Here is a 14,554-nt window from a genome sequence, read left to right as displayed (position 1 = left end):
ATAATTCTGGACAGACTCCGTTTTTTTTTTGGTCTGTTTTTTTCTTTTTTGAGACAGAATCTCACTCTGTTGCCCAGGCTGGAGTGCAATGGCACGATCTTGGCTCACTACAACCTCCACCTCCCGGGATCAAGTAGTTATCCTGTCTCAGCCTCCTGAGTAGCTGGGATTACAGGCACCCACCACCATGCCCGCCTAATTTTTGTGTTTTTAGTAGAGATGGGGTTTCACCATGTTGGCCAGGTTGGTCTGGAACTCCCGACCTCAGGTAATCCGCCCACCTTGGCCTCCCAAAGTGCTGGGATTACAGGCACGCACCACCAAACCCAGCTAATTTTTGTATTTTTAGTAGAGACGGGGTTTCACCATGTTGGCCAGGGTGGTCTAGAACTCCTAACCTCAGGTGATCCGCCCACCTCGGCCTCCCACAGTGCAGGGATTACGGGCATGCGCCACCACACGCGGCTAATTTTTCTATTTTTAGTAGAGACGGGGTTTCACCATGTTGGCCAGGCTGGTCTCGAACTCCTGACCTCAGGTGATCTGCCCACCTCGGCCTCCTAAAGTGCTGGCATTGCAGGCGTGAGCCACCGTGCCCGGCCTGACTCATTTTTTTTTTTTTTTTACAATCACACATGGTGTCTCCATGGGAGGCCTAGATGAAACAAGAAGAAAATTTGGCTTTGATGATGAAAGGGGGAGTCCAGTGCGGTGGCGCATGCCTGTGGCCCTCACCGCGTGGCAATCAAGAAGGATGAGGCTTCCAGGCCCCTCCATCACACTGGCCTCAGCGTGGGGCCAGGCAGGACCTGACAGCCACCAGGAGATGCCACGGAGCCCAGCCCTGCAGAGCAGCCAGGCCTCTGTCCCTCCTACCTCCCTCCTCCCTCCCTTCCCACGTCAGCCTGGCCCGTAACTGTCCCTCCTTCCTCCCTTCCCACATCAGCCTGGCCCAGAGCTGGGGCGACAGCATCCCGGTCACCTCGGGCTGCCCCAGCCAAACTCCTCTGTCCTGTTCTGAGAAAGCAGGCAAAGTCCCTGCCTACAGGGTTCCCCCACGTACCTGCAGGACACCGTCTGTCTTACGGCACGAAGCCCAGGGCCTCCGTAGGGCTCACAGGCGGCTTCTAGAGAAGATGCCCGCCACAGGTGCTCTCTGCTCCATCTCAGGTGACCACTGGCCATCTCGGAAGAAACCTGCTTTGATGGTTTTGAAGCCTGAAGCTCCTTCCTCTCCAGCCCCTGCCACCCGGGGCGGGGAATGGGGACGGGATGCAGACAGAGGTGGGCCCAGCCCTCCAGGAGTTCTAGGGGCTAGGGACAGATTCCCACCACTTGGATGCCCAGGGAAGGCCCCACCCCAGATTGAAATGTTCATGGGTCCAAGAAGGTTCTGGGAGTCACCCCAGGAAGAGGCCGGCATGGGAGGTGCCTCTCGGTGGAGAGAATCAGAGGCGCCTGCCCTAGGGGGAGCCCAGGCCCCCCTTCGTCTTGGCTGCTGGGAGTGAGCTGGGGGGCCGCATGGTTGCAGCAGGGACCTCCGGCATGGCCTCCCTGTGTTCTGGTGCCCTCGCCATTTGCCCTTAAAGCAAGGGCCCGTGGAGGGAGTCCCCCAGGTGGAAGGAAGTCGGATAAAGGGTCCCTGGGGCTTGTTCCTCTCCCTCTCCCTTCAGTGTCTGCTAGAAATTTTTTTTTTTTTTTTTTTTTGAGACAGTCTCACTGTCGCCCAGGCTGGAGTGCAGTGGTGTGATCTCGGCTCACTGCAACCTCCGCCTCCCGGGTTCAAGCGATTCTCCTGCCTTAGCCTCCGCAATAGCTAAAATTACAGGCGCCCACCACCACGCCCAGCTAATTTTTTTGTATTTTCAGTAGAGACGAGGTTTCACCATGTTGGCCAGGCTGGTCTTCAGCTCTTGACTTCAGGCAATCCACCCCGCCTCGGCCTCCCAAAGTGCTCGGATGACAGGCGTGAGCCACCACGCCCAGCCCGTCTTTTTATTCATTGGAGTAACTGTGCAAAAACAGGACCTCTGGACTCTTAAGAGTCTGTGTGTGGCATGCACAGAACATCCCGAGGATTGTGATGATTTAAAAACCAGTGGGGTGACAAGGCTGGAATTCTGTGCAGGGCAGCCTGGCGGGCCGGGTTCACCCACTAACTCCTCCTCTACTCAGCGAGCACTGCACTATGAGTGTCTGGTGCATACCAGGAGTGTCCGTCTGGCTCTAAAACAGCCTCTGGATTCATCTGGGGGCCGGGGCAGGGGAAGCGGGAGGACAACAGATCCTAAGGATGATGTCGAGTACACAGCTCCTCCCTACCTGCCCAGCTCGAAGGCGCACGTCCAGGGAAGCTTTGCAGAGAGCCCTTTTCCAGGGTAAAAGTCTTAGGGGGCTCTTCTAGGGGGAGAGGTCTTGGGGAGCCCTCTTCCAGGGGGCAGGTCTTGGGGGGCACCTTCACGGGGGAAGTCTTCGGGGGCCTCCTTCAGAGGGCAGTCTTGGGGGGACCCCGTTCGGGGGGCCTTTTGAGGAGCCCTTTTCAGGGGGGTGACCCTGGGAGTCCCTTTTCAGGGATGAGGTCTTGGGGAGCCCTCTTCAGGGGCAATGCCTTTTGGGGGCCCTCTTCTGGGGAAAGGGGTCTGTCAAGCCCCCTCATCCTGCAGCCTCATCAGCCCTCCCCGGACCACACTTCGTACAGGCAGAGCCTCGGCAATGATTAATTACAAAAGATGTGCTGCTGCCCCCACCCGACACAGAGCCTGGCACCCCACCCCACCCCGCACAAAGCCAACCTCACCCCTGCTCTGATTCCTTCCCGGCCGTCCGATGAAGCCTGAAGTCTTCCCGTTAAAACACCTCTGCTTCTGGGCGGGGCGCGGTGGCTCACAGCTGTCATCCCGGCACTTTGGGAGGCCGAGGTGGGCGGATCACTTGAGGTCAGGAGTTTGAGACCAGCCTGCTTGGGCCTGGCACCCAGGATGTGCTTGCCAAATGCTTCTGGAATGGATGGATGGAACCCCATCTCTACTAAAAATACAAAAATCAGGCGTGGTGGTGCACACTTGCTATCCCAGCTACTTGGGAGGCTGAGGCAGAAGACATGCTTGAACCTGGGAGGCAGGGATTGCAGCGAGCCGAGATCACGCCACTGCACTCCAGCCTGGGCCACAGAGCAAGACTCCGTCTCAATAAACACACAAACAAAAAAACCCACATCTACTTCTATTATTAACCCACCTACTTTTCTGAGCCCCAAGGGGCTTTCTGGACAGATTCCAGCAGAGCGGCTGCTGGTCAGGCAGCAGTGATCTCTAAAGCTACGCAGGTAATTTTATCAGATGCTGGCAGAGAAGGGGTTCTCATGGGTGGGTACCTGGCAGGCGGATCGGGGCTCATTCCTTTCTTCTTGGTCCTTGGAGGGGCAGGGCAGTGAGAGACACAGCTCTACCCCCACTACCCAGCAGCTGTTGTCTCTCCCACTTCCAATTCCTGGGTGTGAGGCCCACCTGATCCTCCTTTCCCAAGGAGGCTGTGTGGCCCCAAAGGCCTCCCAGGTCATGCCCTAGTCAGGCATAGCAACTGTGTTGTTCCCTCCCAGATACGAGGGGCAAAGGAGTTAGTGTCCAAGGCTAAGTCCCACGTGCAGCACTCTGTATGGAAAAACAGCCCCAATTAGCAATTCATTCATCCATCCATCCATCCATCCATTCATCCATCCATCCATCTATTCATCCATCCATCATCCATTCATTCCAGAAGCATTTGCTGAGTGAGCACATCCATCTATCCATGCATCCATCCACCCACCCATTACCCATCCAATTATCCATCCATTCCAGAAGCATTTGCCGATCGAGCGCATCCATCCATCCATCCACCCATCCATTCCAGAATCATTTACCAAGCAAACACATCCATCTATCCATCCATCCACCCACTCATTGATTATCCATCTATCCATCCATTATCCATCCATCCATCCCAGAAGCATTTGCCAACAGAGTGCATCCATCCATCCACCCACCCACCCATTCATTATCCATCCATCCATTCATTCTAGAATCATTTGCCAAGCAAACATATCCATCTATCCATCTGTCCATCCACCCATTCATTATCCATCCACCCACTCATTATCCATCCATCCCAGAAGCATCCATTATTCATCCATCCACCCATTATCCATCATCCATCCACCCATTATCCATCCATCCATCCATCATCCATCCATCTATACATTATCCATCCATCTATCCATTATCCATCCATCCATCCATTATCCATCCATCCATCCATTATCCATCCACCCACCCATTACCCATCCAATTATCCATCCATTCCAGAAGCATTTGCCGATCGAGCACATCCATCCATCCACCCACCCATTCATTATCCATCCATCCATCATCCATCCATCCATCCATCTATCCATTATCCATCTATCCATTATCCATCCATCCGTTATCCACTCACCCATCCATCCATCCATCCCAGAAGCATTTGCCAAGCACATCCTGGGAGCCAGGCCCAAGCAGGCGGGCATCCTCCTGGCTCTGAGAGGAGCTTGAGCAGAGCCCACAGACAGCACCACCCTGCTGGCGGGTCACCAAGCCACCAAGCCAGTGCAGGCTGAAGGCTGAGCACACAGAGCACCGGTCTCAGTGTCTGGACATGGTTAGCCGTCCCCACCCGCATGGAAGGAAACTTCTTCTCTCCCCTAAGACAGGCTTTGCAGACTTGGAAAGGGAACGCCGTGTTGCAGGGCTCAGGCCTGGAGCCCCGGCCAGAGCAGATGCGAGCCAGCCTCATCTGGAAATAGCAGCTCTGGTCCCGGCCTCGCTGAGGCACTGAAAACCAGCACCAGGGCCCCGTCCAGCCCGGCCTCGCTGAGGCTGGGAAACAAACACAGGTCTGTAAGGCGCAGCTCCCCAGCAAACTCCCCACCCCTGCCCAGCACCCACAGCGCTCCTGGCCTCTGTCCTCTATTCCAGGACCCCTGTAGCGAGCCTGGCTTGGTCCTGGGTCCTCAGGGGACACTGTCCACCCCCGCTGCCCTGGCAGAGCCTCAGGAATGTGCTTGGTCTCCACAGCCCTCCCCACAGCAATGTCCCAAGGTTAGACCTACCCATGCCTCAGTGACTTCTGAGACACCCGTCCCGCCGCCCAGCAGCCACTCCAGCCTCCAGAGCTGGCCCCAACCTCCAGCCCCAGGCTGAGCCGCCCTCCCCAGAGGTCAGGAAAAGCCTCAGGCAGGGCTCACAGCTGCACCCAGGAGTCACCCAGGGTGACCCCGCTCTCTGGGGCGGGTCACTCCTGCCCACCCACAGCCGGGGACTGTCATTTTCTCAGTACACAAAGGAGAGAAAGGAAAAACAAGAGCGAGAAAGACACAGGGAGAGAAAAGGAAGAGAGAAGGAAAGAAAAAAGAAAGACACAGGGAAAGAAGAGGAAAGAAAAGAAGGGAGGAAGGAGGGAGAGTGGGAGGAGAGGGAAAGAAAGGGAGAGACAGGGAAAGGCAGGAAAGGGAGAGATGGGGAAAGGCAGGAAAGAGAGAGGCAGGGAAAGGCAGGAAAGAAAGGGAGAGACAGGGAAAGGCAGGAAACGCAAGGAAGCAATGGGAAGGGAAAGAAGTGAAAAGGAAGGCGGGGAGGGAGGGACGGGAGAAAGGGAGGAAAAGAGCAAAGGAGACAGGGAGACAGGAAAGAAAAAGGGGAGGGAGGCAAACGGGGAACGGGAGAAAAAGAAAGGAAGGGAGAGGGAATGATGGAGAAAAACAGGAGGGAGGGAGGAGAGAAGAAAAAGGAAAAGGAGGGAGGAGAGAGGAAAGAGGCAGGGAGGTAGGATAGAAAAAGACGGAGGAGAGAAGAAAAAAGAAAAGGAGGCGGGACGCAGTGGCGCACGACTGTAATCCAGCACTTTGGGAGGCCGAGGTGGGCGGATCACCTGAGGTCAGGAGTTCAAGACCAGCCTGGCCAACATGGTGAAACGCCATCTGTCCTTAAAAAAAAAAATAGCCGGGTGGGGTGGCTGGCACCTGTAATCCCAGCTACTTGGGAAGTTGAGGCACAAGAATCTCTAGAACCTGAGAGGCAGAGGTTGCAGTGAGCTGAGATCACGCCACTGCACTCCAGCCTCGGTGACAGAACAAGTCTCCATCTCAAAAAAAAAAAAGGAAAACAGGGAGAAAGGGAGAAACAGAGAGGAAGGAAAGAACAAGACAGGAAAGAATAAAAGGAAGAAGAAAAAGAGAGGCAAAGGGAGAGAGGAAAAATGAAAAAAAAATTAAAAAATGGAAAAGAGACAGCTAGGCGTGGTGGCTCACACACCTGTCATCCCAGCACTTTGGGAAGCCGAAGTGGGCGGATCCCCTGAAGTCCGGAGTTCGAGACCAGCCTGACCAACATGGCGAAACCCCGTCTCTACTAAAAATATAAAATTAGCTGGGCGCGGTGGCGCATGCCTGTCATTCCAGCTACTTGGGAGGCTGAGGCAGGAGAATCGCTTGAACCCGGGAGGCGGAGCTTGCACTCCAGCTTGGGCAACAAGAGCGAAACTCTGTCTCAAAAGAAAAAAAAAACGGAAAAGAGAGAGGGGAGAAAGGGACGAGAGGAAGGGAGACAGGAAATAAAGAGGAAAAGGAAAAGAGAGGGAAGGAGGGAAAGGCAGAAAAGGGAGGAAGGGAAGGAAAGAGGAAAAGGGAAGGAGAGACGGAAAGAGGGAGAAAAAAGAGGGAGGGAGCAAAGAAAAAACAGAGGAAGGGCGGAGGGAGAAAAGCAGAAAAAGGAAGGAAAAAAATGAAAAAGAGGGAAGAAACGTAGCAAGAAAGGAAGGAGAAAGGGAGAGAGAAATGAAAGAAAAAGGGAGGGAGGGAAACGAAGGCAGAGACGGAAAGACGGAGAAAAAGGAGGGAGGCGGGAAAGCAGCAAAAAGCAAAGGCAAGCAGGGAAGGAAGAGACGGGGAGAAAAGGGCGGGCGGGAGAGAGCCGGGAAGGGAGAGGAGGCGGGAGGAGGGAGGAGGGAGGCGGGAGGGAGGGAGGAGGGAGGCGGGAGGGAGGGAGGGAGGGAGGGAGGAAGGGCGGAGTGGGAGGTCGCGAAGGAGGACCCCGGCCGCAGCCCCCGCCGGGCAGACACGGGCACAGACACGGGGAAATAGGGGAGCCCGGGCGGGTGGGCGCGGCCCACGGAACCCCCAGCCCCGGCGCGGAGGGCACCGCGGGGTCAAAGAACGGAGGCCCAGAGAGATCCCCCCCCCACCAACCTAGGCCGGGCGCGGAGGGCGGCGCGGAGTCACGGATCGGCAGCGGGACTGAGCCGCGCCCACGTGGAAGCCGCCGCAGGCTTCGCGCGGGGCCCCCCGGGTGCACGCGGGCAGGGGCCGGGGTCTCCCGACGCACGACCCCGGAGAGTGTTGAAAGGGTCGGAGCTGCCCGGAGGTCAAGGGTCAAGGGTCGGGGGTCGGGGCACCACATGTCGCACATCCCGGCGGGGTCGCCGCGGCCTCCGGGAGAAAGCGGACGACGCACTCGGAGCGAACTGGGCATCAGGGTGGGCTTCTGACTCCGCAGCTGCCCTCCCGCCCGCTCGGGTACTGGCAGCGGCCTGACCTTCACAAGGTCAAGGCTGCCGCGGAACCCCCAGCGGCCCCTACGGCGCATGGGCGGGGCCTGGCTCCCGGCATACCTAGGGGTGCGGGGCGGGACGTCTCCGGGGAGCGCAGCCAATGGGCGCGGTTCGCTGGAGTGCGGGGCGGGACGCAGCGGGATTCCCGGCAGCCCTCAGAGGCGAGGCACGCAGGCTGGTGTGGGGCGGGGCCTGGCGGCGCAGCCAATGAGCGCGGCGCGAGGAGGCGCGGGGGCGGAGAGTGGGCGTGGCGTCGGCGTCTTAGCGGCTGCGCGGTGGCTGCTCCGTCCTTTCGGTCCAGGCGGCGGCAGGGCTGAGCCAGCGACGCCCTCCATTCACTCTCCGCGCCCGTTCTCCGGCTGTCCTCCCGTTCCGCTGCCCGCCCTGCCACCATGACGGAACAGGCCATCTCCTTCGCCAAAGACTTCTTGGCCGGAGGCATCGCCGCCGCCATCTCCAAGACGGCCGTGGCTCCGATCGAGCGGGTCAAGCTGCTGCTGCAGGTGGGGACGCGGGCGCGGCCGCTCCGGGGACTAGGGGACGGGAACCGAGTGGCCGGGTCGGGCGGGGACGTGGGCAGCAGAGCCTTGCAGGCGGGCGCCGGAAGTGGAAGGCCGCGATCGCTTTGTCCACGCGCCGCCGGCTTCCGGGGGCCGCGTCACGTGACCGCTGCTGCAGGGCGTGGCGACGTCCACGCGTGCGCACTGGGCCCGGCGGGCGGGGGGAAATGCGGCACGGATTGGAGGGCGCATGCGCGCTGAGCAGGGCCCATGGACGGACCCTGCGGCTGGCGGGCCTTGACCTTGAGCTCAATCCTGCGGGTCCCCCGGCTGGGACCAACCCTTCCGGTGGATGCCTGGCAGGTGTCTGCTCTTGCTCCCTCCACCGTGAAGGGTAATTCTAAGGCCAATAGGGCAACGAGCCTGCCCGCAGGTGTCCTGGAATAACCAGGATATGGTTATTGGTGGTTCTTACCCCCTTCTTAGCTCATTTGTGCAATTCTGATCCAGAGCAATGCATTTTTTGTCTTTTGGGAGAGGCTTATAGAAAGTAGCATGATGCCTAGGAACATTGCCGCCAGGACGTCCTTGCTAACGTTGTACTCCGAGTGACAGCTCGGTGATGGGAATGAATAGGCTTGGCTGCAAGGACAGGTCACGCCCGCGATCCCAGCGCTTTTGAGAGGCCCGGGGAGTATTGCTTGAGGCCAGGAGTTTGAGAGCAGCCGGGGCCACACAGCAAGACCTCACCTCAAAAAAAATTATTTTAACTTAACGAAGCAGGACGTCCCAGTGCATTGAGAGGCCCGGAGAGGATCGCGTGAGCTCAGGAGTTTGAGACCAGCCTGGGCAACAGAGCAAGACCGCATCTCTAAGATAATTTTTTAAACCTAGTACAGGGTGGCGTGTCCCGGGAGTTTGAGACCAGCCAGGACAACATAGCAAGACCCCATCTCTAAGAAAATTTTTAAAACTTAGCAGGCGGGGTGTCCCCGCACTTTGAGAGGCCCAGGGAGGATCGCCTGAGCTCAGGAGTTTGAGACCAGCCAGGGCAACATAGCAAGACCCCGTCTCTAAGAAAAAGTTTTAAACTTAGCAGGGCGGGGTGTCCCAGCACTCGGAGAGGCCCAGGGAGGATCGTTTGAGCCCAGGAGTTTGAGACCAGCCAGGGCAACGTAGCAAGACCCCGTCTCTAAGAAAATTTTTTAAACTTAGCAGGGCGGGGTGTCCCAGCACTTGGAGAGGCCCAGGGAGGATCGTTTGAGACCAGCCAGAGTAACATAGCAAGACCCCACATCTTAAAAAAACCTTTTTTTTTTTTTTTGAGATGGAGTCTCTCCCTGTCGCCCAGGCTGGAGTGCAGTGGCACGATCTCGGCTCACTGTAGCCTCCGCCTCCTGGGTTCACGCCATTCTGCCTCAGCCTCCCTAGCAGGCACCTGCCACCACACCTTGCTAATGTTCTGTATTTTTAGTAGAGACAGGGTTTCACCGTGTTAGGATGCTCTTGATCTCCTGACGTCGTGATCCACCCACCTCAGCCTCCCAAAGTGCTGAGATTACAGGCATGAGCCACTGTGCCCGGCTTAAAAAATTTTTTTAAACTTAGCAGGGCGGGATGTCCCAGCGCTTCAAGAGGCCCAGGGAGGATCACCTGAGCTCAGGAGTTTGAGAGCAGCTTGGTCATCGTAGCAAGACTCCATCTCTAAAAGTAATTTTTCAACTTAGTGGAGCTTGATGGTTGTGCATCTGTAGACCCGGGTACTCGGGAGACTGAGGCGGGAGGATGGCTTAATCCAGGAGTTGGAGGCTGCAGTGAGGTGAGATCGCACCACTACACTCAAACCCGGGTAACAGCATGAGACCTTGTCTTTTTAAAAAAAGAAAGAGCCGGGTGCGGTGGCTCACGAGGTCAGCAGATCGAGACCATCCTGACTAACATGGTGGAACGCTCGTCTCTACTAAATAAGCAAAAAAATTAGCCGGGCGTGGTGGTGGGCGCCTATAGTCCCAGCTACTCGGGAGGCTGAGACAGGAGAATCACTTGATCACCCCATTGCACTCCAGCTTGGGCAACAAGAGTGACTTGTGTCAAAAAAAGGATGCACCCTGTAGCTGGGATGTTTCTGGGTGGTTGGCCCTGGGTCTGGTCTGAACACCCTCTGCGTCCCCCAGGTCCAGCACGCCAGCAAGCAGATCGCCGCCGACAAGCAGTACAAGGGCATCGTGGACTGCATTGTCCGCATCCCCAAGGAGCAGGGCGTGCTGTCCTTCTGGAGGGGCAACCTTGCCAACGTCATTCGCTACTTCCCCACTCAAGCCCTCAACTTCGCCTTCAAGGATAAGTACAAGCAGATCTTCCTGGGGGGCGTGGACAAGCACACGCAGTTCTGGAGGTACTTTGCGGGCAACCTGGCCTCCGGCGGTGCGGCCGGCGCGACCTCCCTCTGCTTCGTGTACCCGCTGGATTTCGCCAGAACCCGCCTGGCAGCGGACGTGGGAAAGTCAGGCACAGAGCGCGAGTTCCGAGGCCTGGGAGACTGCCTGGTGAAGATCACCAAGTCCGACGGCATCCGGGGCCTGTACCAGGGCTTCAGTGTCTCCGTGCAGGGCATCATCATCTACCGGGCGGCCTACTTCGGCGTGTACGATACGGCCAAGGGTACGTGTGGCTGCCATCGCGAAGTCCCAGAGACGGGCTCAACACACAGACGTTCCCCCAGGGTCCTGTGGGCTGAAGGTCTGAGATAAGGTGTGGGCAGGGCTGGTTCCTCCTGCGGCCTCTCTCCTGGACTTGGAGACGCCGTCTTCTCCCTGTGCCCTCACAGCATCATCCCTCTGTGTGTGTCTGTGTCCTCATCCTCTCTTCTTATGGGATGTCTTAATCCATTTCAGGCTGCTATCACAGAATACCATAGACTGGGTGACTATAAACAACAGACATTGATTTTCCTACAGTCCTGGAGGCTGGAGGTCTGAGATCCAGGTGTGGGCAGGGCTGGTTCCTCCTGCGGCCTCTCTCCTAGGCTTGTAGATGCCGTCTTCTCCCTGTGCCCTCACGGGGTCGTCCCTCTGTGTGTGTCTGTGTCCTCATCTCCTCTTGTTATGAGATGTCTTAATCCATTTCAGGCTGCTATCACAGAATACCATAGACTGGGTGGATTGTAAACAGCAGACATTGATTCTCCCACAGTCCTGCAGGCTGAAGGTCTGAGACCAAGGCATGGGCAGGGCTGGTTCCTCCTGAGGCCTCTCTCCTGGGCTTGGAGATGCTGTCTTCTCAGGCTTTTTCCTGTGTGTGTGTCTGTGTCCTCATCTCTTGTTATGAGATGTCTTAGTCCATTTCAGGCTGCCATCCCAGAACACCATAGACTGGGTGACTTAGAAACAACAGACATTGATTCTCCCACAGTCCTGGAGGCTGGAAGTCTGAGATCCAGGTGTGGGCAGGGCTGGTTCCTCCTGAGGCCTCTCTCCTGGGCTTGGAGACTCCGTCTTCCCTGTGTCCTCACAGGGTCGTCCCTCTGTGTGTGTCTGTGTCCTCGTGTCCTCTTCTGATGAGATGTCTTAGTCCATTTGAGGCTGCTATCACAGAATACCATAGAGTGGGTGGACTGTAAACAACAGACATTGATTCTTCCATAATCCTGGAGTCTGGAAGTCTGAGATCAAGGTGTGGGGCAGGGCTGGTTCCTCCTGAGGCCTCTCTCCTGGGCTTGTAGACGCCGTCTTCTCCCTGTGTCCTCACAGGGTCATCCCTCTGTGTGTGTCTGTGTCCTTATCTGCTCTTCTTATGAGGTGTCTTAGTCCATTTCAGGCTCCTAAAACAATACTATAGACTGGGTGGCTTATAAACAGCAGACATTGATTCTCCCGGAGTCCTGGAGGCTGGAAGTCTGACATCAAGGAGTGGGCAGGGCTGGTTCCTTCTGAGGCCTCTCTTTTTGGCTTGTAGACACCGTCTTCTCCCTGTGTCCTCACAGGGTCATCCCTCCGTGTGTCTGTGTCCTCATCTCTTTTTAGAAGGACACTGGGGTCGTAGGATCAGGGCCCACCCTACTGGCCTCCTTTAGTCTTACCTCTTTCAAGACCTTATATCCAAGTACAGTTGCATCCTGAGGTCCTGGGGTGGGGGTGGGACTTCAGCATGTGGATTTTGAGGACAGAGTGTAACTCCCATAGTAACGGTGACCCTTCAGAAGGTCAGGGCCCTATTCCCTTCCCCAAACAGGCCTAACCCCGGCCTCTGGGACTGTCTTGCTGGGCTCCGGTAGGTGGCAGGCGGCCTTTTCCCCTCTGGCCCTGCCCCGACCTCTCGTGTTGTAAACGTCAGCTGGCACTGAGCAGCCACGTGGAGGGGGCACTGGTGGTCTCGGAAGAGCTCGGCACCACCTCAGGGGGCCGTGAGCACACCCTGGGGGCCGACCCTGGTCTCGGGTGGCCGTGCAGGCGCTGGAGACGGTGACGTGCCGTTCCCGCGCAGGCATGCTCCCCGACCCCAAGAACACGCACATCGTGGTGAGCTGGATGATCGCGCAGACCGTGACGGCCGTGGCCGGCGTGGTGTCCTACCCCTTCGACACGGTGCGGCGGCGCATGATGATGCAGTCCGGGCGCAAAGGAGGTACTCGGGGGGGCGGGGGACCCTTGCTGCCGGGAAGGGGAACCAAGCTCCTTGCCCTAGGCCCGTGGGAGGTCAGGAACCATCAAAGGAGGCACTTCCAGGGCGTGTGAGACAAGCAAGTGTGTCCGAAAGTAACCTGGCTGTGTGGAAGGATTTTCCTGAACGATGGGCTTCTGATCTTTTTGGGGTTTCATGGTCCGGGCGGCAGTTTCTAAATCCCCGCCTCCTAGAACCTCTGGTTGCACCCACACCCTCGATCCTGCCTTCTCTGCATGGACCCCGGGGTGGAGATGGGGGACACCCAGGGCGGGGCCTGAAGTCCTGTGTCCAGCCCTCCCTGAGACAGTGGCTTAGGAGGAGGGCTTGAGCTGGGGGAGCCTCAGGTATCCCTCCTGTAATCAGAACTGTGGCTCAGGCGTCTGGGGTGTTATTTCTGTGAAACGTCTTTGTGGGTGCAGGTGGCGTCCGTGTCTTGAAGAGCTTGGCGGCGAGGCCCTCACTGTCTCCCTGTCGTTGCAGCTGACATCATGTACACGGGCACCGTCGACTGTTGGAGGAAGATCTTCAGAGATGAGGGGGGCAAGGCCTTCTTCAAGGGTGCGTGGTCCAACGTCCTGCGGGGCATGGGGGGCGCCTTCGTGCTGGTCCTGTACGACGAGCTCAAGAAGGTGATCTAAGGGCCGCGGCCTCCTCCACACACACACACACACCAGGGGAACCAAGAGAACCACGTAGAATCCTCAACCGTGCGGACCATCAACCTTCGAGAAATTCCAGTTGTCTTTTTCCCAGCCGCATCCTGCCTGTAGATGGCCGGGGAAGGCTCTAGAAAAGGGGCGCATTGCGATCCAACCATCGGCAGCCGATTCCGTGTCTTGATCACGGGGTGGGAGGGAACCGTGGCGTCCCTGCGTGGGGCCCATGGGTGAGACACTCCAGTACTGAGACCTAGAGTCCAGATGCTTGTAGGAGCCAAGTCGTGTTCTAAGTATTTATTTAAAACAAAAGAATCACGTTTTCCCATTTGTACTTCAGCGCTAGCCCCTGTTTTGCACAGCCGAGTACTGGCGAGTATGTTCTATGTTGGGCCTCCTGCTGCAAAACAATAAACAGAGGACGCAGAGGTCCTCCTGCCTGGCCACGCACCTCTCCACAGGGCGGCCTGGGGTCTGGAGATGGGCGCTGGGCCCACGGGACGCAGATGGGGCCACGCTCTGCCCGTGGCTGGCCCACGTTCCTGGTCTGCAGTGCTGCCTCCTCCCCAGCACCCCTGGGGCACAGAGGGCAGGGTCACAGCTGGGAAGAGGCGGGGGGTAGAAACCAAGGCTGGCAGAAGTGTAGCCGGGCTCCCTGATAAATGCTGGAGGACCCCAGGGCACCTGCACTTACTGTACCCTCTCTGAGAGCATTTGTATGATCTCATGTCTCAGCTCTGGAGGCTGGAGGTCCCAGAAAACCAAGGTATGGTAGATTCAGTCTCTGGTGAGTACCCAGTTCCTGGCTTCTAGATGGCGCCTTCTCCCTGTGTGTCCTCAGATGATGGATGAGGCCAGGGTGCTCTCTGGAGTCCTTTCTGTAAGGGCACTGATCCCATCCATGAGGCCTCATGACTCCCAAAGACCCCCACTTCCCAACGCCATCACTTGGGAGAGGGGCGTTTTCAGCGTGAATCTTGGGGAAACTGAAACAGGCGTGACACCCTGCGTTCCTCTCCACCTCCTGTAGCTCCCGAGGGCCACTCCAGCCCCCATTCCAGCATGAACAGTGGAGTCGGTCGGGGTCCCCAGAGTGGCAGCTGTGTGTCCGCGGGT

General features: G+C 57.5%; 2 protein-coding genes and 1 long non-coding RNA gene across 3 annotated transcripts, besides 4 other annotated features; 1 reads left to right on the top strand and 2 right to left on the bottom strand.

Moving 5' to 3' along the window:
* LINC00106 (long intergenic non-protein coding RNA 106) lies at positions 610-2,997 on the bottom strand. The gene is made up of 3 exons (NR_130733.1): positions 2,798-2,997; positions 1,064-1,197; positions 610-655 (listed from the first exon to the last, which is right to left on the bottom strand). It is a non-coding gene; the product is annotated as a long intergenic non-protein coding RNA 106 (long non-coding RNA).
* Positions 1,161-8,014, bottom strand: LOC124900597 (serine/arginine repetitive matrix protein 1-like). The gene is made up of 5 exons (XM_011546186.2): positions 7,791-8,014; positions 7,259-7,680; positions 4,474-4,892; positions 2,798-3,650; positions 1,161-1,197 (listed from the first exon to the last, which is right to left on the bottom strand). Exons 1-4 carry the CDS (start codon positions 8,012-8,014, stop codon positions 3,630-3,632), a joined length of 1,086 nt encoding a protein of 361 aa, XP_011544488.2. The 3' UTR covers positions 1,161-1,197; positions 2,798-3,629.
* Positions 7,409-8,011: an enhancer, noted in NCBI's record as "NANOG-H3K27ac-H3K4me1 hESC enhancer chrY:1460904-1461506 (GRCh37/hg19 assembly coordinates)". NCBI's record gives its function as "activates a minimal SCP1, AML or CMV promoter by ChIP-STARR-seq in primed H9 embryonic stem cells {active_cell/tissue: H9 hESC(primed)}" and the evidence as "EXISTENCE:reporter gene assay evidence [ECO:0000049][PMID:30033119]".
* Positions 7,409-8,049: a biological region, named in NCBI's record as "NANOG-H3K27ac-H3K4me1 hESC enhancers GRCh37_chrX:1510866-1511460 and GRCh37_chrY:1460904-1461506".
* Positions 7,455-8,049: an enhancer, noted in NCBI's record as "NANOG-H3K27ac-H3K4me1 hESC enhancer chrX:1510866-1511460 (GRCh37/hg19 assembly coordinates)". NCBI's record gives its function as "activates a minimal SCP1, AML or CMV promoter by ChIP-STARR-seq in naive and primed H9 embryonic stem cells {active_cell/tissue: H9 hESC(naive and primed)}" and the evidence as "EXISTENCE:reporter gene assay evidence [ECO:0000049][PMID:30033119]".
* SLC25A6 (solute carrier family 25 member 6) lies at positions 7,909-13,870 on the top strand. Its single transcript, NM_001636.4, has 4 exons — positions 7,909-8,123; positions 10,295-10,781; positions 12,603-12,743; positions 13,263-13,870. The coding sequence occupies exons 1-4, from the start codon at positions 8,013-8,015 to the stop codon at positions 13,418-13,420; spliced, it is 897 nt and encodes a 298-aa protein (NP_001627.2). The 5' UTR covers positions 7,909-8,012; the 3' UTR covers positions 13,421-13,870.
* Positions 8,050-8,645: an enhancer, noted in NCBI's record as "NANOG-H3K27ac-H3K4me1 hESC enhancer chrX:1510270-1510865 (GRCh37/hg19 assembly coordinates)". NCBI's record gives its function as "activates a minimal SCP1, AML or CMV promoter by ChIP-STARR-seq in naive and primed H9 embryonic stem cells {active_cell/tissue: H9 hESC(naive and primed)}" and the evidence as "EXISTENCE:reporter gene assay evidence [ECO:0000049][PMID:30033119]".

This window comes from Homo sapiens, chromosome X, assembly GCF_000001405.40.
Source record: "Homo sapiens chromosome X, GRCh38.p14 Primary Assembly".
In the NCBI taxonomy this organism is placed as follows: Eukaryota; Metazoa; Chordata; class Mammalia; order Primates; family Hominidae; genus Homo; species Homo sapiens.
This window is presented reverse-complemented; position numbering and strand designations above follow the sequence as displayed.